This window comes from Homo sapiens, chromosome 11, assembly GCF_000001405.40.
Source record: "Homo sapiens chromosome 11, GRCh38.p14 Primary Assembly".
Lineage (NCBI taxonomy): Eukaryota > Metazoa > Chordata > Mammalia > Primates > Hominidae > Homo > Homo sapiens.
Genome location: NC_000011.10, coordinates 66,446,225 through 66,466,195, shown reverse-complemented (window position 1 = coordinate 66,466,195; position 19,971 = coordinate 66,446,225). Strand labels below are relative to the sequence as shown.

The following is a 19,971-nucleotide window of genomic DNA, read 5'->3' as shown; positions in this document are numbered from 1 at the left end:
CTTGCGAGAGATCTATCAGTCTACGTTAGGCGCTGTGCGCTGTGCTTTGAGCAAATTAAACCCTTTACTTTAATCCTGGGAGGCAGGCACGATAGTTGCCCATTTTACAGATGAGGAAATAGATTTACAAAAGTGACTTGCTTGTTGTAGTTTGCTAGAAACGGGCCAAGAGAGAATCTCAGCTGTATGAGTGGCTTCAGTCTCAACTCCTAACTTCGTACCTTGTCGTTCTGACTAGGGATGGAGCCTCAGAGGTGCAGAAGAGAAACCTTGTCTGCATCAGGTAAGGTCCCTATTGCTCAGTACTCTTGGTCTGGAACTATAAAGGCTGGATTATAGTTCCAGATCAAGTCTTTGGTCTTGTGGGGGGCGGTGGGGGTGTTTAATGAGAAAATCAAGGAAGACTGCACAGAGGAGGTGGCTTTTGACTTCCATTATGAAGGATGCATGTTTAGTTTGCCTAAACATTCCTGAGAGGGAGCCGCTGCCACTCCCACCCCCACAAACTTGTTGCACCTGAAGTTCCCCATCTACCAGACTCCCCTGGGGCCCTACTATATCCACCCCGCTAACTCCTCCACCTAAAAATAGCCAAAGATACCAACTGCTTTGCCAACTGTTCTGGGGCCCAGCGGCTAGATGAAACAAGAAAGCAGCCGACGGCACATCCTTTAGGGGAAAAGACACTCGTTAGTCACAGAGAATCTCCCTGCGAGACTTCCACCAAGCAGGACACCACCAGACCGCTGGGCTGCTGGCTGCAGGTCACACAAACCCTGTGACACAGGATAGCTGCCCTCACTGATGCCACCAGAGGCGTCCATTGTGCTGGGTGTGCACGGGGACCCTGGGACAGCCTCACTCCCTTGTGTACCCCCAGCTTTTAATGCATTGCCTGCCAGAGCAGGTCCTCAGTGAATATATACTGAATCCCTGTTATAATCCCCAATTTACACACCAGGAAGCTGAGGCTCAGGCAGAAGAAGAAACTTGCCCCAGGTCACAAGCCAGGCAGATGTGGAGCTGATGCTTCACAGGAGCCCCAGTGCTTCCACCTGACACTGGACTGCATGGAGGAAGGTCTGAGAGGGATCACCAAGACTCACTGGAGGAGGAGGCAGGGATTTCTCCTGGGGCAGTACTGGGATTGGAGCTGCATGGTGGCACAGCCAGACCATCAGGCCTCAGGGAGGCTGAGGTGGGCCCGACACCAGGATTGCCCAAGTAAGGGAGAGGAAGGGAGAGTTAGGACACCAGTAGCAGATGCCTAAGTTCCAACCTTGGCTTCTGGCTCTAAATCCAGCGCTCTGCTCCAAGAACTCCAGCTTCTTAATCTCACTAAGCTTCAGTTTCCTTATGTGTAAAATGGGAATAATAATGATACTTGTGGTGAATAGGATTTTGCAGTATTGCTTTGAAATTCCTTTGTCAACCCTCCCTTTTCTCTCTTCAATCTAGATCTTGTCCCTGTTGGTTCAAAGAAAGGAATAAAATAGAAACTTTATTTCTTTCTTAAAAAATTTTATTATTATTATACTTTAAGTTTTAGGGTACATGTGCACAACGTGCAGGTTTGTTACATATGTATACATGTGCCATGTTGGTGTGCTGCACCCATTAACTCATCATTTAGCATTAGGTATATCTCCTAATGCTATCCCTCCCCCCTCCTCCCACCCTACAACGGTTCCCGGTGTGTGATGTTCCCCTTCCTGTGTCCATGTGTTCTCATTGTTCAATTCCCATCTATGAGTGAGAAAATGTGGTGTTTGGTTTTTTGTCCTTGCGATAGTTTGCTGAGAATGATGGTTTCCAGCTTCATCCATGTCCCCTACAAAGGACATGAACTCATCATTTTTTATGGCTGCATAGTATTCCATGGTGTATATGTGCCACATTTTCTTAACCCAGTCTATCATTGTTGGACATTTGGATTAGTTCCAAGTCTTTGCTATTGTGAATATTGCCGTAATAAACATACGTGTGCCTGTGTCTTTATAGCAGCATGATTTATAATCCTTTGGGTATATACCCAGTAAAGGGATGGCTGGGCCAAATGGTATTTCTAGTTCTAGATACCCCTTTTTTTTTTTTTTTTTTTGAGACGGAGTCTCGCTCTGTCGCCCAGGCTGGAGTACAATGGCACAATCTCGGCTCACTGCAAGCTCCACCTCCCAGGTTCACGCCACTCTTCTGCCTCAGCCTCCCGAGTAGCTGGGACTACAGGCACCCGCCACCACGCCTGGCTAATTTTTGTAGTTTTAGTAGAAACGGGGTTTCACTGTGTTAGCCAGGATGGTCTCGATCTCCTGACCTTGTGATCCGCCTGCCTCTGCCTCCCAAAGTGCTGGGATTACAGGTGTGAGCCACCACGCCCGGCCGAAACTTTATTTCTTTAATTCTTGGGTTCTAATGCCTGAAGGGGAGAGGCTTGGAATAGTTTGGAAAAGTAGTTGTATATCTAGTTGAGAAAACATGTGGAAAAAACAAAACAGGGCTGGGCGCAGTGGCTCACCCCAATGCTTTGGGAGGCCAAGGCAGGAGGATCGCTTGAGGCTAGGAGTTTGAGACGAGCCTGGGCAACATAGTAAGACCCTGTCTCTACAAAATTAAAAAAATTAGCTGGGCATGGTGGTGCCTGCCTGTAGTCCCAGCTACGCAAGAGGTTGGGTCAGGAGAATCATTTGAGCCCAGGAGATCGAGACTGCAGTGAGCTATGATCACATCACTACACTCCAGCCTGGGCAACAGAGTAAAATCCTGTCTCTAAAAAAAATTAAGAAGAGAAAAAAACAACAGCAGCACATTCTTTCTGGGCTGGGAGATTTGGAGAGGAGAAGGAAGAGCTAAGATGCTAGGTTCTGCCCTTGAGGCCATGCCAGACGGGGAGGGTGGGGTTGGGAAAAGACAGATCCCTCACATGGATTTGGGGATCCAGAGCAGAGGCGACCTGGGCTTCAGTTCTCGGTCTCTAGCTTTAGAGGAAAGCCCTTGAAGCAAGGCCTGAGAATAATAATCCATGGCTCTTGGTCTCTTAGTTCTACTTCCTGAGTCATCTTTCATTTTCCATAAAAGGTAGTCTGTGTTTGCAGCTGAGTAATTTTCTTGGCCTGCATCCTGTCTATAGAAGTTTGAGGGTTCGAATGCCTCTTTTCCATTTCTGTTGTCTCTGTCCTTTACAGTCCAAGTTGTCAGTGTTTCTGCCAATACAATTCTCTTAAAAACTTTGTAGATTTCTATGGACCTTATTCACTTCATTAGACTATGCCCACAAATCTCTTTGAGATAAGCCCCCCTACCTTGGGCTCATGCTGATAGACAAATCCTTTAACGTTTCTAGAAGCCCTTATTGTTTGAATGGTTCTATTGCCTTAGACCTGAAGTCTTAGGGAATTTACAGGCATACTGTTGGCCTCTTGGCTTCAACTTTATACCATGTTTTTCTGATGTGATCTTTTTCCAGAAGCCATTTCTTAATTTTAGCATTGTTTTTGGCTGGAGAGGCTGGGAATTTTCTTCTTCTTCTTTGTTTGTTTGTTTGTTTGTTTTTGAGACGAAGTTTTGCTCTTGTTGCCCAGGCTGGAGTATAATGGTGTGATGTCGGCTCACTGCAACCTCCACCTCCTGGGTTCAAGTGATTCTCCTGCCTCAGCCTCCCAAGTAGCTGAGATTATAGGCATGCATCACCACTCCTGGCTAATTTTGTATTTTTAGTAGAGATGGGGTTTCACCTTGTTGGTCAGGCTGGTCTTGAAGCCCTGACCTCAGGTGATCCACCTGCACAGCCTCCCAAAATGCTGGGATTACAGGCATGAGCCATTGCACCTGGCTGAGGCTGGGAATTTTCAAAATCATCAAATTCTAACTATTTTTGGTTTAACAGAGCTCCTGTCAGTTTATAACTTGCCTCTCAACTCTCATGTTTTACTCTAAGCAGGAAGAAGAAATAAGGTACTACCTGTAACATTTTGCCTGGAAATCTCCTTAGCTAGATCACATATTTCATTAGGCACATCTTCTACCTTTTTCTTCTTTCTTCCCTTCCCTTCCCCTCCCTTCCTTTTCTTTCCTTGCCTTTTGTCAGAGTCTTGTTCTGTTGCCCAGGCTGAAGTGCAATGGTGCATTACTTGCAGCCTTGAGCTCCTGAGCTCAAGCAATCCTCCTGCTTCAGCCTCTGCAGTATCTGGGACTACAGGCACATGCTACCATGCCCAGCTTAGTTTATTTCTATTTAAAAACATTTTTTTAGAGATAGAGTCTAGCTATGTTGCCCAGGCCGTTCTGAAACTCCTAGTGATCCTCCAGCCTCAGCCTTCTGAGTTGTCGAGATTGCAGGTAGGAGCTACCATACCAATCTACACATTATGAAGGATGACAATGTTGCTAAATTACCTGCCACTATACAACAAGGATCTCCTTCCCTTGAGATCCAATAATATTTTCCCACTTTCCTTTCAGCTTTCACTATCAGCCTTCTCTAAGGCCATCAGTCTTCTTAAAGTAGTCCCATGATCCCTCACTCCTGGTATTCACACCTTTATGTCAACCCCTTCCCTTGAATGTGGGTGGGCAGGACCTATGACTTTCTTCTAACCAACAGTATATGGCAAAGGTGATGGGTTGTGCCTGATTACATGCACATAGTGATGTTATTATGTTATATAAGTTTGTAGCACCTGTCTTGCTGGGGTCTCTCTCACTCCTTGCTGGCTTTAGAAAAGCAAGCTGCCATTTTGTGCACTTCCCATATGGGGAGGCCCATGTATCAGGGACCAAGAGTGATCTCTAAGAGCTGAGAATGGTTTGCAGCCAGCAGCCAGCAGAAGGAAAAAAAAAAAAACAAAAAAAAAACCTCAGTCCTGGAGCTGCAATTGAATCTGCCAACAAAAGTGATTCTGGGCTGGGCGTGGTGGCTCACACCTGTAATCCCAACACTTTGGGAGGCTGAGGTGTATGGATCACCCGAGGTCAGGAGTTCAAGACCAACCTGGCCAAAATGGTGAAACCCCATCTCTACTAAAAATACAAAAATTAGACAGGTGTAGTGGTGCACTCCTGTAATCCCAGCCACTAGGGAGGCTGAGGCAGGCGAATTGCTTGAACCCAGGAGGTGGAGGTTGCAGTGAGCCGAGATCGTGCCACTGCCCTCCAGCCTGGGCAACAGAGTGAGACTTTGTCTCAAAAAAAAAAAAAAGAGGATTCTTCCCCAGTTGAGTCTCAGATGAGACCACAGCCCTAGCAGACTCCTTGATTGAAGTCATGTGACACCCTATGCTGAGGACTCTGCGTAGCCATGCCTGGACTCCTGATCCCACAGAAACTGAAGTAATAAATGTGTGTTGTTTTAAGCTGCTATGTTTGTGGTATATTGGTATACAGCAGTGGATGACTAATACAAAGGCTTTCAGACTTTTGCTAACACTATACTTAAAGTCTTTCTAGCCTCTGCTCACTACTCCCACATTTTTAGGTATTTTTTATTGTCCTCACTCCTGGCATTAAATCTTTTTTTTTTTTTTTTGGCTGGGCACGGTGGCTGACGCCTGTAATCCCAGCACTTTGGGAGTGAAAGTGAAACACAGTGAAACCCCGTCTCTACTACAAATACAAAAAAATTAGCCGGGTGTGGTGGCGGGTACCTGTAGTCCCAGCTACTCGGGAGGCTGAGGCAGGAGAATGGTGTGAACCCAGGAGGTGGAGCTTGCAGTGAGCCGAGATAGCGCCACTGCACTCCAGCCTGGGCGACAGAGTGAGACTTTGTCTCAAAAAAAAAAAAAAGAGGATTCTTCCCCAGTTGAGTCTCAGATGAGACCACAGCCCTAGCAGACTCCTTGATTGAAGTCATGTGACACCCTATGCTGAGGACTCTGCGTAGCCATGCCTGGACTCCTGATCCCACAGAAACTGAAGTAATAAATGTGTGTTGTTTTAAGCTGCTATGTTTGTGGTATATTGGTATACAGCAGTGGATGACTAATACAAAGGCTTTCAGACTTTTGCTAACACTATACTTAAAGTCTTTCTAGCCTCTGCTCACTACTCCCACATTTTTAGGTATTTTTTATTGTCCTCACTCCTGGCATTAAATCTTTTTTTTTTTTTTTTGGCTGGCTCTGTCGCCCAGGCTGGAGTGCAGTGGCATGGTCATGGCTCGCTGTAGCCTCAAACTCTTGGGATCAAGCAATCATCCTACCTCAGCCTCCTGATTAGCTGGGACCACAGGAGCATGCCACTGTGCCTGGCTAATTTTTATTTTTATGTTTTGTAGAGGCAGAGTTTCACTATGTTGCTCAGGCTGGTCTTGAACTCCTGGGCTCAAGTAATTCTCCTGCCTCAGCCTTCCAAAGGGCTAGGATTACAGGTGTGAGCCACTGTGCCCAGCTGGCACCAAATCTGTCTTAGTTATTGCTGAGTAGCAAATTATCCCAATCTAAGCAGCTTAAAAGAGTAAGTGTTTAATCTCATACAGTTTCTAGGAATCACGAACTTGAAAGCAGTTTAGCTGAGTGTTATGAGCAGTTCCATGCAAACCTACCCCCAAAGTCCAAGAAAGCTGAGAGGCTGAAGAAAGAGACTGACAAATCCAGTTTCTCAGAAAGAAACATTTAATGACTTAGAAACAGAAGTGATGTCTTAGGCGGCTGCAAGACAATGGATCCCTGCACCCACACTCCAGAAGGTATCCTTTCTCTTTTAGGGTAAAACATGTGCAGCTGGTCACGTCTTCAGACTTCTTTTTGCCAAGATCCATGACCACTGGCGGGGTTTAGATAAGCATCTTTGTGAGGGGCTTTCTATGCTAGAAGGTGTTGTTTAAAGAGCTTACTGCAGAGCACCTTGGTATGTGGGGGTCAAACATCAGTCACCACAAGAGTTTCACTTCCAGATGGTGTCATATTTGCCATGAAATACACTGTTTTCCTATGCTGGGACCTGAGTTCTGGCTCAAGTGTCTCATGGGGTTGCAGTTAAGAAGTCAATTGGGACTTTAGTCATAAGAAAGCTTGAGGGCCGGGTGATCTACTTCCCAGAGGCTCACTCATATGCCTGGAAAGTGAGCGCTGGATGTTGGCAGGAAGCCTGGGTTCTTCTTCATGTGGACCTCTCTGGAGGACAGCTTGAATGTTCTTACAACACCAACACGGCAGCTGGATTCTCCCAAACAAGTGACCCAAGAGTCTAAGACAAAAGCCACAGTGAGGCTGAGCAGTGGCTCATGCCTGTAATCCCAGCAGCTTTGGGAGGTCGAGGTGGGAGGATTGCTTGAGTCCAGGAGTTTAAGAACAGCCTGAGCAACAATAGTGAGACCTCGTGATATAGTTTGGATATATGTCCCTGTTCAAATTTCATGTTGAAATGTAATCCCCAATGTTGGAGATGGGGCCTGGTGGGAGATGATTGGTGGGGCAGTTCCTCATTAATGGTTTAGCACCATCCCTTTGGTGCTATGCTTGTGATAGTGAATGAATTCGCATGAGATCTGGGGTTAAGTGTGTGGCACTTCACTCTCTCTTGCTCCTGCTGGCCATGTGACATGTCTGCTCCCCCTTCACCTTCCACCATGATTGTAAATTTCCTGAGGCCTCCCCAGAAGCTGAGCAGATACCAGCATCATGCTTCTGGTATAGTTGGCAGAACTGTGAGCCAATTAAACCTCTTTCCTTTATAAATTACCTAGTCTCAGGTATTTCTTTCTTTTTTTTTTTGAGACAGAGTCTCCTTCTGTCACTCAGGCTGGAGTGCAGTGGTGTGATCTCGGCTCACTGCAGCCTCCACCTCCCAGTTCAAGCGATTCTCCTGCCTCAGCCTCCAAAGTAGCTGGGATTTACAGATGTCTACCACCACGCCCGGCTAATTTTTGTATTTTTAGTAGAGATGGGATTTCACCATGTTGGCCAAGCTTGTCTTGAACTCCTGACCTCATGTGATCTGCCCATCTCGGCCTCCCAAAGTGCTGGGATTATAGGCATGAGCCACCACGCCTGGCCATCAGGTATTTCTTTATAGCAATCTGAGATTGGCCTAACGTGCCTTATCTCTATGAAAAATTAAAATACTAGTCAGATGTGGTTGCACATACCTGTAATCCCAGCTACGCTGGAGGCTGAGGCAAGAGGATTGCTTGAACCTGGAAGGTAGAGGGTACAGTGAGCTATGATTGCATCAGCCTAGACGGAAGAGTGAGACCGTGTCTCAAAAAAAAAAAAGCCACAATGTCACACAGTGTCACTTCTGCTTTATTCTATCAATCAGAACAATAACATGCCCACCAGATTCAAGGGGAGGAACTTAGACCCCAACCTTGATGAGAGGAATTGTTGCCTGTGGGCCAGTTCAGGTTTTTGACTTCACGATACAAGAGAATTTGAGAGCGAGTCCAAAGTAGGAGTAAGCAAGAGAGTTTATTGCAAAGCAAAAGTACACTCTGGGTCAGGCACAGCAGCTCACGCCTGTAATCCCAGCACTTTGGGAGGCCAAGGCGGGTGGATCACGAGGTCAGGAGTTTGAGACCAGCCTGACCAACACGGCGAGACCCCGTTTCTACTAAAAATATAAAAATTAGCTGGGCGCAGTGGGGCGCACCTGTAATCCCAGCTACACAGGAGGCTGAGGCAGGAGAATTGCTTGAACCCAGGAGGTGGAGGTTGCAGTGAGCCGAGATTGCACCAGTGCACTCCAGCCTAGGTGACAGAGTGAGATTTCGTCTCAAAATAAATAAATAAATAAATAAATAATAAAGAGAAATTACACTCTGACAGCTGATCAGAACTGGCTGCCCAAAGGTGAGACAGCACCAATTGACACTGGGGAGACTTTCTTTATGAGAGTCTTACATGATTATTCATAAAGGGGGGAATCATTATTCATGATTATTCATGTTCTATGTGGTCCCCTGCATGCACATGTGCTATTATTGTGCATGCTAGTACATACATGGCATATCTCATTAGCATCTTAAATCTCCACCCAGGAGTGTGTTTTTTACTATTATAATGAGCATAGGTCAGCCCAAGGACACTAAACAAGGGTTTCTGCACTTACATGAATTTGGGGATTTTCCCTTCTACTTTTTTTTTTTTTTTTTTTGTGATGGAGTCTCACTCTGTCGCCCAGGCTGGAGTGCAGTGGTGTGATCTTGGCTCACTGCAACCTCTATCTCCCGGGATCCACACCCGACTAATTTTTGTATTTTTAGTAGAGATGAGGTTTCACCATATTGGTCAGGCCGGTCTCGAACTCCTGACCTCAGGTGATCCACCTGCCTCGGCCTCCCAAAGTGCTGGGATTACAGGCATGAGACATCATGCCTGGCCCCCTTCTGCTTTTCTTTTTTTTGAGACCGAGTCTTGCTCTGTCGCCCAGGCGGGAGTGCAGCGGCGTGATCTCGGCTCACAGCACGCTCCGCCTCCCGGGTTCATGCCATTCTCCTGCCTCAGCCTCCCAAGTAGCTGGGACTACAGGTGCCCCCCACCATGCCCGGCTAATTTTTTTTTTTTTGATTTTTTAGTAGAGATGGGATTTCACCGTGTTAGCCAGGATGGTCTCGATCTCCTAACCTCGTGATCTGCCCACCTCAGCCTCCCAAAGTGCTGGGATTACAGACGTGAGGCACCGTGCCCGGCCCCACTTCTGCTTTTCTACCTCATTGATGCAGGATGTTCTAACCATGAGCCCAGGATGCAGTTTGTGCATTGTTGGGTGGTTTGTTTTCTCCATCTATTTAGCAAGTTTTATTGTCCTTTAAGGGAGGCTATTACCACCCTGTCTAATCTACCTCAGAATGGGAAAGAATTCCAGCCAGGGCAACATGGCGAAACTCTGTCTACAAAAAATACAAAAAGTTAGTTGGGCATGGTGGTGCGTGCCTATAGTCCCAGTTACTTGGAAAGCTGAGGCAGGAGGATCACTTGAGCCAGGGAGGTCAAGGCTGCAGTGAGCCATGATTGCACCACTCCACTTCAGCCTGAGCGACAAAGTGAGAGCCTGTCTCACAAAAACAAAAAACCAAAAATATAGGCCTCCCTCCCTCCCCTGCTCCAGGTCAGGGGGCTATCTTTTCAGGAGGGACTGGACATCAGCATTTTTCATCCTGCCCCAGCTACCTGTTATTGAGGCTGAGTTCTAGGTGAGTGTATCTGAGATGTGGAGGTGCCCCTCTTCCACCCAGCCCCCACTGGTAAGATGGATACCCAACACTGGGCATGGCACTGCTGAGAACACTGGGGCACAATTCACTCTTACCCCACTTGTGGAGTGGGGGTTCCATTCAGAGGGTGGAGGAGGGGAGCTGAGGAGACCTGGGGCTGCTGCACTTGCCCTCCTCCAAGCACTCAGCTCCTAACGTGGGGGTGTCACTCAGAGAGTGGCAAGCTATTGTTCCTGCCAGCGCCAGAGCCCTGGCTCAGAGATTTCTCTTCGGAACAGAAGTGGGTAGTAAGGCCGGGGCATGGTGGCTCACGCCTGTAATCCCAGCACTTTGGGAGGCTGAGGTGGTTGGATCACTTGAGGTCAGCAGTTCGAGACTGGCCTAGCCAACATGGTGAAACCCCGTCTCTACTAAAAGTACAAAAATTAGCGGGGTATGGTGGTGCATGCCTGTAATACAAGCTACTGAGGCAGGAGAATCACTTGAACCCAGGAAGCAGAGGTTGTAGTTACCAAGATTGTGCCACTGCACTCCAGCCTCCTGGGTGACAGAGCAAGATCAAGTATTGAAAAAAAAAAAAAAAAAAAAAAAGTAGGTAGTAAGAGAGAGAGCTCCAGATCTTTCCCTAAAGGAACATTTGTTACAGGTTGTAGAGAAGTTTAAGTTCAAGCCCAAGAGCACTCTCAAAATACTGGAGGTTATGGGGAAAAGCAATAGAGGGGAGATTGATGGACTTTGGAGATACAGGTTAAATTGCAGGCTGGCTAGTTTGCTGGAGAGAAACTGGGGAAAGGGAAACTGGAGAATCCTGCTAGAGTCAGAACAAATCTCAGACACTGACCTCCAGGACTGTTTCTTCAAAGGCATCACCAGGTTTGACTGGATCCATTTGTGGAGGAGTTTATACCCCAGAGCTTTGTTGAAAATACAGTAATAGACAACTCAGCTGGCAATTACTGGAGCCTAACAGCTGGGTGTGTCAGGGGACGAGTCAGTCAAAGAGAGTCCTGTCAAAACCCTTGTTAACCCATGATGACTGGGTACCCAAGGCTGTACCCCCTGAGAAGTGACATCTGAGGCTTCACACTCTGGCAGCAAGAAGGAGGAGATAGACTTCACTAAAATAATCCCTCCGGTAACCAAATGAGCAAGTAAGGATAACAAGCCGGAGATTTGTAGCTATCATACACAAGCAACATCAGCCTCTTGCTTGGTACCTGGGGAGCCCCCAGGAGGAGCAGGGAAGAGCAGACAGAGGAGGGGGAAGGCAGATGAGAGCGAGGAGTCTGGGCTCCCTTTTTTTTTCCCCCATCAACCAAAAGAGGAATGTCAACATTTATTTGGCACCACTGAGTTCAGAATATCCTTAGGGCTCTGTATAGGTGACAAAAGGAGTATCAGGCCATGGTCATTTCCTTAGGAAGATGCCGTATAGGAAGAGAGGGTGGAAAATCATGAGGGCATTCGTCAGCCTCCGGTACTTTGCTGCTCAAGTTTCAGGAGCTGTTTGTCAAGTTTTGAGGTGTTTTCTTGATGCATCATCAGAAACTGGCCACACAAGTGAAAGACAGGAATGTCAAATTTATACCTTTCATACCAGGCAGAGTTTTCTGGAAGTGTGACGTTCACTTCCTGTAAAATAAACCTGTTACTATAAGGCTTGAGTACTTCCTTGGCTTCACCACAAAGGGGGCGTGGGTCCTTTGTGAATAAGGTCAGCACGGGCAGAGTTGTCTTAGAGACAGAGCAGTTTATCAAGAAGAGTCCAAGGGAGGATCTGGCAAGCTGCATGCTATTTCCTTGAAACCAGAGCATCTTAATTCCAATCCAGATGATTTCTCCCCTTCAAAATAATTGCAAGCAAGGTTAAAACTGTATTCAGGAACTATTCCAGCTGGCTTTTGGCTTTCTCTGATGTATACTCCTGAGCTTCACGCCGCCAACATCTCTGCTTCTGCCCCACACCCAGGCTGGGCTCCCTTTGACCTTTGATTGGTGACATGGAGAGTTAGGGACCCAGAACTGCCTGCAAGTAGTTCATACCCCACCCCTGCCATTGCCCACATTCAACCTGTCACAAAGTCCTGCCTACTATGTCCCCACAGCTCCCATCAACCTTGCGATCCCCTCTGCAACTGTCCAGAGAGGCAGGGCTGAGATCTAGGTTCTGCCTCTCCTGACACACAGACAGACAACTCTCCCTAGTTGTGACCTTGGGCAAGTCTTTTCACCTTTCTGAGCCTTGGTTTTCTCAACTATGAAATAAAAATAAAGAGGCTGGGAGTGGTGGCTCACGCCTGTAATCCCAGCACTTTGGGAGGCTGAGGCGGGTGGATCACGAGATCAGGAGTTTGAGACCAGCCTGGCCAATATGGTGAAACCCCATCTCTACTAAAAATACAAAAAATTAGCTGGGCGTGGTGGCGGGCACCTGTAATCCCAGCTACTCAGGAGGCTGAGGCAGGAGAATTGCTTGAACCTGGGAGGCAGAGGTTGCAGTGAGCTGAGATCACACCATTGCACTCCAGCCTGGGTGACAGAATGAGACTCCATTTCAAAAATAAATAAATAAATAAATAAATAAATAAATAAATAAATAGGCCAGGCGCGGTGGCTCATGCCTGTAATCCCAACACTTTGGGAGGCCAAGGTGGGCAGATCACAAGGTCAAGAGATCAAGACCATCATGGTGAAACCCCATCTCTACTAAAAATACAAAAATTAGCTGGGGGTGGTGGCATGCGCATGTACTTGGGAGGCTAAGGCAGGAGAATCGCTTGAACCCGGGAGGCGGAGGTTGCAGTGAGCCGAGATCACGCCACTGCACTCCAGCCTGGTGACAGAGAAAGACTCCATCTTAAAAAATAATAATAAATAAATAAATAAATAAAGACACTGGCCGGGTGTGGTGGCTCATGCCTGTAATCCCAGTATTTTGGGAGGCTAAGGCAGGAGGATCACTTGAGCCCAGGAGTTTGAGACCAGCCTGAGCAACATGGCAAAACTGTCTCTACAAAAAAGCACAAAATTTAGCCAGGCATGGTGGCATGTGCCTATAGTGCCAGCTACTTGGGGGACTGAGGTGGGAGGATTGCTTGAGCCTGGGAGATCGAGGCTGCATGAACCATGTTTGTGCCACAGCACTCCAGCCTGGGTGACAGAGTGAGACCTTGTCTCAAAATAATAGTAGTAATAATAATAAAGATACCTACCATACAAGACTGTTGTGAGAAATCAGTAAGATTACCCAGGAAGGGTGCTTAGCTCAGGCCTGGCTCATGGCATATGTTAAACACTCTCTAAAAGTCAACCACTATTAGTATCAATTCAGACTTCATCATTTCTTGGCTGGGCACTCAGGACAGCCCCCTTGATGGCCTCTCTGTCTCCATTCTTGCCCCTCCAATCTATCCTCTCCAACTGAGCCAGTGTCAAGCCCCTGTTTACATCTCGTCAATGGCACCTGCATCTTCTTTGCTGAGGGTGGGTCTTGGTCCATCTGAGATACTGATTAAAGTGCAGCTTTCTAGGATGTCCCCTCCAAGGATCCCTGCACTTGTCACAATGTCCCAGGCAATCTTGCGGTGCACTGACACTTGAGATTCACCCCTCTGCAAGCTAGTCTACATTCATTGGTGCAGGATTCAAGGCCCTTCAGATCCAGCCCCTGCCAACATTTCCAGCCTGATACTCCCTACCTCACACCATACCCTCCACTGACACCACAGCATGTGCCCCTCCCTCCTGCCCCACACTATCCTGTACCTCTGCTGTTCCCTCTGCTTCCCTGTCCCCCAGGCTGGGGAACATGCCTATTTTGGGCCAAATTGTGTCTCCCGACCCCTGCAAATTCATATGTTGAAGCCCTGGCTCCCCAGTACCTCAGAATGTGACTGTATTTGGAGAGAGGGCCTTTAAAGAGCTGATTTAACTTAACATGAGGCCAATTAGGGTGGGCTCTGATCCAATCTGATTAATGTTCTTATCAGAAGAGGAAATTTGGACACACAGAGACACCAGAGCAGAGGGAAGACCTTGTGAAGACACAGGGAGAATGTGGCCATCTTTGAGTTAAGGTAAGAGGCCTCAGAAGAAATCAACTCTGCCGACATCTTGCTTTTGGACTTTCAGCCCCCACAACTGTGAGAAAATAAACTTCTGTTGTTTCCGTGCCCAGGCCGTGGTGTTTTGTTACAGCAGCTAGCTGAGCTGATGCACAGAGAGCACCTCCCTGCAGGGCAGCAGCTGTGCCTGCCCCTCACAGAGAACTCACCATGTGGTTCTGCACCTAGTGCTCTATTCATGTATTTACCTCTCCTGTTAGGTCAAGGCTTTTTGCAAGGTAGGGTTGTGAGTTACCAGCGAGTTATGAAATTGACTTCATGGGTTCAACCAGCATTTTTAATGAAAGAATTAGAATAGAATAGAATAGAATAGAATAGAATAGAATAGAATAGAATAGAACAGAATAGAACAGAATAGAAAATAGAGTACACTACCTAGAGTAAAGATATGAACTGTCTCATGAAACTGGTATTTCCCTGTGTATATGTCACATATGTGCATTGGGCCACAATGTAAAATGCATTTTTTTTTTACTAATACTCATGGCCAAGAAAGATAGAAAGCCAGTGCATAGCCTGTGTGACCCTCAAAGATGATGTCAAACCTTCTCATTTCTGTATGTCCAGTGGCTGACCTAGGACCTGGCATGCAGTAGGTCTTTGGGGAATATTTGTGGAACCAATGTGCACTGACACTTGCCTAAATGATCTTCTCTACTTCCCCCTTCATGACCCTAGTTGCAGCACCAAAATCTCTCACCTGGAGGACAACAGCCTCCTAACAGGTCCCTGCTTCCATCTTGGCCTCTCTGTAGCCTCCCTTCAGCAGCCAAGAGTCATCTTTCTACAGCATAAGTTGCATCCCATCACTTACCTATTCCAGTGACTTCCTACTGGAGCCCAAGTAAAGTCCTACGTCTTTACCTGCCCTCCAATGCCTGCCATGATCTGCTTTCCCCATCCTCTCCAACTTCCTCTCCTTCCCCTGCCCCCTCCCTCATTCCTTCCAGCTGCACTGACCTCCTTGGTGGTCTCCAGAGCCAACCAGCCCACGCCTGCCTCAGGGGTCCACACACACTTACTCCTGCTTGGAAGGCTCTTCCCCGAAACAAGTCCCTTGTCTTCCTTCTCTCAAGTCTAATGTCACTTCCTCAAAGAGGCCATCCCTAACCGTTCTAGTCAGTAAAATCCTATTTAGGAGGGATATTTCATAACATAGAAGACACTTGTTGATATGTTTTGGCTCTGTGTCACCACCCAAATCCCATGTTCAGTTGTAATCCCCAGTGTTGGGGATGGAGCCTGGTGGGAGGTGATTGGATCATGGGGGTGGATCCTCCTGAATGGTTTACCACTGTCCCTTTGGTGCTATTCTCATGATAGAGTTCTCACGAGATCTGGTTGTTTAAAAGTGTGTAGCACCTACCTCATTTCTCTTTCTCCTGCTCTGGTTGTATAAGATATGCTGGCTTCCCCTTCACCCTTTCACCATGGTTGTAAGTTTCCTGAGGCCTCCCCAGAAACTGAGCTGGTGCTGCCATGCTTTCCTTTTCTTTTTTCTTTCTTTCTTTTCTTTCTTTTTTTTTTTTTTTTTTGAGATGGAGTTTTGCTCTTGTTGCCCAGGCTGGAGTTCAATGTCATGATCTCAGCTGGCCGCAACCTCCACCTTCTGGGTTCAAGCAGTTCTCCTGCCTCAGCCTCCCAAGTAGCTGGGAATACAGGCATGCGCCACCACACCTGGCTAATTTTGTATTTTTAGTAAAGATGGGGTTTCTTCATGTTAGTCAGGCTGGTCTCGTACTCCTGACCTCAGGTGATTTGCCTGCCTCGGCCTCCCAAAGTGCTGGGATTACAGGCGTGAGCCACTGTGCCAAGCCACTGCCATGCTTCCTGTACAGCCTGTGGAACCATGAGCCAATTAAACTTCTTTTCTTTATAAATTACCCAGTCTCAGGTATTTCTTTATAGCAATGTAAGAATGGACTAATACACTTGTGATATAGCATTAAATGTTTGCTATGGCTTGGATGTTTGTTTCCTCCAAACCCACATGTTGAAACTTAATCCTGTCAATGGAAAGAGTCAAACTCTGTAACATATTTGAAGAGATTTATTCTGATCCCAATATGAGCGATCAATGGCCTGTGACACAGCCCCAGGAGATCTTAAGAATATGTGCCCAAGGTGGTTGGGCTACAGCTTGGTTTCATACCTTTTAGGGAGACATAAGACATTGATACATGTTAGATGTACATTCGTTTGGTCCAGAAAGGTGGGACAACTGGAAGCTGGGGGGAGGTGGTGGCAGCCTAGGGAGGGGAGCTTCCAGATCATAAGTGGATTCAAAGATTTTCTGATTGGCAATTGGTGGAAAGAATTTATCTAAGGACATGGAATTAATAGAGGGGGGTGTCTGAGTTAAGATGAAGGGTTGTGGGGACCAAAGTTTTTTTGTTTGTTTGTTTTTTGATACGGAGTCTCGCTCTGTTGCCCAGGCTGGAGTCCAGTGGCTCGATCTCGGCTCACTGCAAGCTCTGCCTCCAGGTTCACACCATTCTCCTGCCTCAGCCTCCCAAGTAGCTGGGACTACAGGCGCCCGACACCATGCCTGGCTAATTTTTTGTATTTTTTAGTAGAGACGGGGTTTCACCGTGTTAGCCAGGATGGTCTCAATCTCCTGACCTTGTGATCCGCCCATCTCGGCCTCCCAAAGTGCTGGGATTACAGGCGTAAGCCACCGTGCCCAGTGGAGACCAAAGTTTTTATTATGCAGATGAAGCTTCCAGGTAGCAGTCTTCAGAGAACATAGATTGTAAATTTTGCCTGTCAGATTTTTCTCCTGGATCAGGAAAAAGACCCGGAAAAGGAAGGAGATTCTCTTTAGAATGTCGATTTCCCCCATGACAGGACTATTTCAATATATGGCAAAGAAACATAATTTGGAGTAAAATACTTTACTTTCTTTCAGGGCCTGCTATCTGTCATGTGATGCTATACTAGAGTCAGGCTGGAATTTGGTATCCTATTGCTACAAAGAGTCTGCTTTATCAGTCTTAAGATCTGTTTTTACTGGTGAGTTGTGCCTGAATTCCAAAAGGGAGAAGGGAATAATGAGGCATACCCGACTCTCACTTCCCATCAAGGTCTGAACTAGTTGTTCAGGTGAACTTTGGAATGCCCTTGGCTGAGAGGAGAGGTCCATTCAGATGGTTGGGAGGCTTAGATCTTTATTTTTGGTTTACATTACTAAATGAGGAAGTGTTGAAATGTGGGGCCATTAAGAGGTGATAGGTTCTGCCCTATAGATGGATTAATCCATTTATAAATGAATGGATTAATGACTTAATGAATTAGTGGGTTATCACAGGAGTGGGACTGGTGGCTTTATAAGAAGAATCGGTCGGGCACAGTGGTTCACACCTGTAATTCCAATATTTTGGGAGGCTGAGGCGAGTGGATCACCTGAGATCAGGAGTTTGAGACCAGCCTGGCCAACATGGCAAAACCCAGGCATGGTGGCAGGCACCTGTAATCCCAGCTACTCAGGAGGCTGAGGCATGAGAATCACTTGAACCCGGGAGGCAGAGGTTGCAGTGAGCCAGTATCACACCATTGCACTCCAGCCTGGGGGATAGAGTGAGACTCTGTCTTGAAAAAAAAAGAAGAGGCAGAGAGACGTGAGCTAGACACTCAGCCCCCTGGCCATGTGATATCCTGCATCACCTCAGGACTCTGTAGAGAGTCCTCATCAGCAAGAGGGCTCTCACCAGTTGTGCCCTCTCAACTTTGGACTTCCCAGCATCCAGAACTGTAAGAAATAAATTCTATTTATTATACTCAGTTTCAGGTATTCTGTTATAAGCAACAGAATACAGATTATTATAAGCAACCAAAAACAGATTAAGACAGTGCTCAAAGTAAAATACCAATACACAACACACAAATTTTGTATACAGTGTGATTGCGATTGTGTTTCAGTTTCCTCATCTGTAAAGTGGGAATAGAAATAGTAGGCTGGAAGTGGTGGCTCACGTCTGTAATCCTGGTGCTTTGGGAGGCCGAGGCTGGTAGACTGCCTGAGCTCAAGAGTTCAAGACAAGCCTGGGCAACATGGTGAACCCCGTCTCTACTAAAATACAAAAAATTAGCCTGGTGTGACGCCGTGCGCCTGTAGTCCCAGCTACTTGGGAGGCTGAGGCAGGAGAATTGCTTAAACCCAGGAGACAGAGTTTGCAGTGAGCCTAGATCATGCGACTGCACTCCAGCCTGGGTGACAGAGTGAGACTCTGTCTCCAAAAACACAGAAATAGTACCTACACTTCTTAGAGTAGTGATGAGGTTTAAATGAATTACTGTTCATAATACAAACATTAGCTGGGTGTGATGATGCGCGCCTGTAGTCCCAGCTACTCAGGAGGCTGAGGGAGGAGAACCGCTTGAACCTGGGAGGTGGAGGTTGCAGTGAGTCAAGATCAAGCCACTGTACTCCAGCCTGGGTGACAGAGTGAGACTCCATCTGAACAAAAGAATTACTGTTCAGAGACACAGTTCATACTGCACAAGCATTGGTTGAATAAAATAAATTCTGTCTTCTAAATAGCTCATGAATGGGTGCCCCTCCTCTTCCCTGGTCCAAGTCACCATTATCTCTCTACCCTATTCCTTCCTTGGCCTAATGGGTTTCTTTGCATCCACTATTATGCTCCTCCAATGCCTCCTACCTACCCAAGCTCTGGTGACCTTTTCAAAATGCAAATATGATGCATATGGTTAACACCCTTCAATGGCTTCCTATTGCACAGTCCACACTCCTTAATAGGGCTGACAAGGCCTGAATGATTTGGCCCCTACCCACCTGTCCAGGCTCATCTTTACTATTGCCACTGAACCTCACACATGACCTCACTTTGATTTCACATATTACTGAGGTACCCTGGGGAGTTGCTTCCTGGTAGTCTATAAGAGCCAGAATAATCAAAACTGTGTTTCCATTGACCGGAAGTGGAAATTGCACCCCTAGAGCAGATTGCCCCAGATTGCACTCTTGGCTCTCTAGCCACCTGCTATGCCAGTCAACTTCCTGATTCTGTCAGAAGTGTTTGAACCAGAGTGACTCCATCTTGAATAGAGTCTGGGTAAAATGTAGATGAGACCTTCAGAGCTGCATTCCCAGGGGAGCAGGCATTCTTAGTCACAGGATAAGGTAGGAGGTCAGCAGGCCGATGTCATAAGATATAGGTCATAAAGACCCTGCTGATAAAACAAGATGTTGGAAAAAAAAAAAAGCCCCAAACCCAGTAAAATCAAGCTGGCAATGAAAGCAAACTCTGATTGTTCTCACTGCCGAAAATACGCTAAATATAATGCATTAGAATGCTAAAAGACACCCCCACCAGTGCCGATACAGTTTACAAACGCCATGTCAACGTTTGGAAGTTACCCTATGTGGTCTAAAAAGGGGAGGATCCCTCAGTCCTAGAAATCTCTACCCCTTTCCCAGTGTGAACTCCAAAGTATCTGAGACAGATCTCAGTCAATTTAGATGGTTTTATTTTGCCAAGGTTAAGGATGCACCCATGACACAGCCTCAGGAGGTCCTGACAACATGTGCCCAAGGTGATCAGGGTACAGCTTGCTTTTACACCTTTTAGACATAATACATCAATCAATACATGTAAGAGGCCAGGCGCAGTGGCTCATGCCTGTAATCCCAGCACTTTGGGAGGCCAAGGCAGGCAGATCACCTGAGATCGGAAGTTC

The 19,971-nt window shown here is 46.8% G+C and overlaps 1 pseudogene, besides 3 other annotated features; it reads right to left on the bottom strand.

Moving 5' to 3' along the window:
• Positions 325–824: an enhancer, noted in NCBI's record as "H3K4me1 hESC enhancer chr11:66232843-66233342 (GRCh37/hg19 assembly coordinates)". NCBI's record gives its function as "activates a minimal SCP1, AML or CMV promoter by ChIP-STARR-seq in naive H9 embryonic stem cells {active_cell/tissue: H9 hESC(naive)}" and the evidence as "EXISTENCE:reporter gene assay evidence [ECO:0000049][PMID:30033119]".
• Positions 825–1,326: an enhancer, noted in NCBI's record as "H3K4me1 hESC enhancer chr11:66232341-66232842 (GRCh37/hg19 assembly coordinates)". NCBI's record gives its function as "activates a minimal SCP1, AML or CMV promoter by ChIP-STARR-seq in naive H9 embryonic stem cells {active_cell/tissue: H9 hESC(naive)}" and the evidence as "EXISTENCE:reporter gene assay evidence [ECO:0000049][PMID:30033119]".
• Positions 11,456–12,107, bottom strand: LOC100505524 (chromosome 5 open reading frame 63 pseudogene; annotated as a pseudogene).
• Positions 13,570–13,763: a silencer, noted in NCBI's record as "fragment chr11:66219904-66220097 (GRCh37/hg19 assembly coordinates)". NCBI's record gives its function as "represses an EF-1alpha promoter that drives an FKBP-Casp9 reporter gene in an ReSE screen in HepG2 liver carcinoma cells {active_cell/tissue: HepG2}" and the evidence as "EXISTENCE:reporter gene assay evidence [ECO:0000049][PMID:32094911]".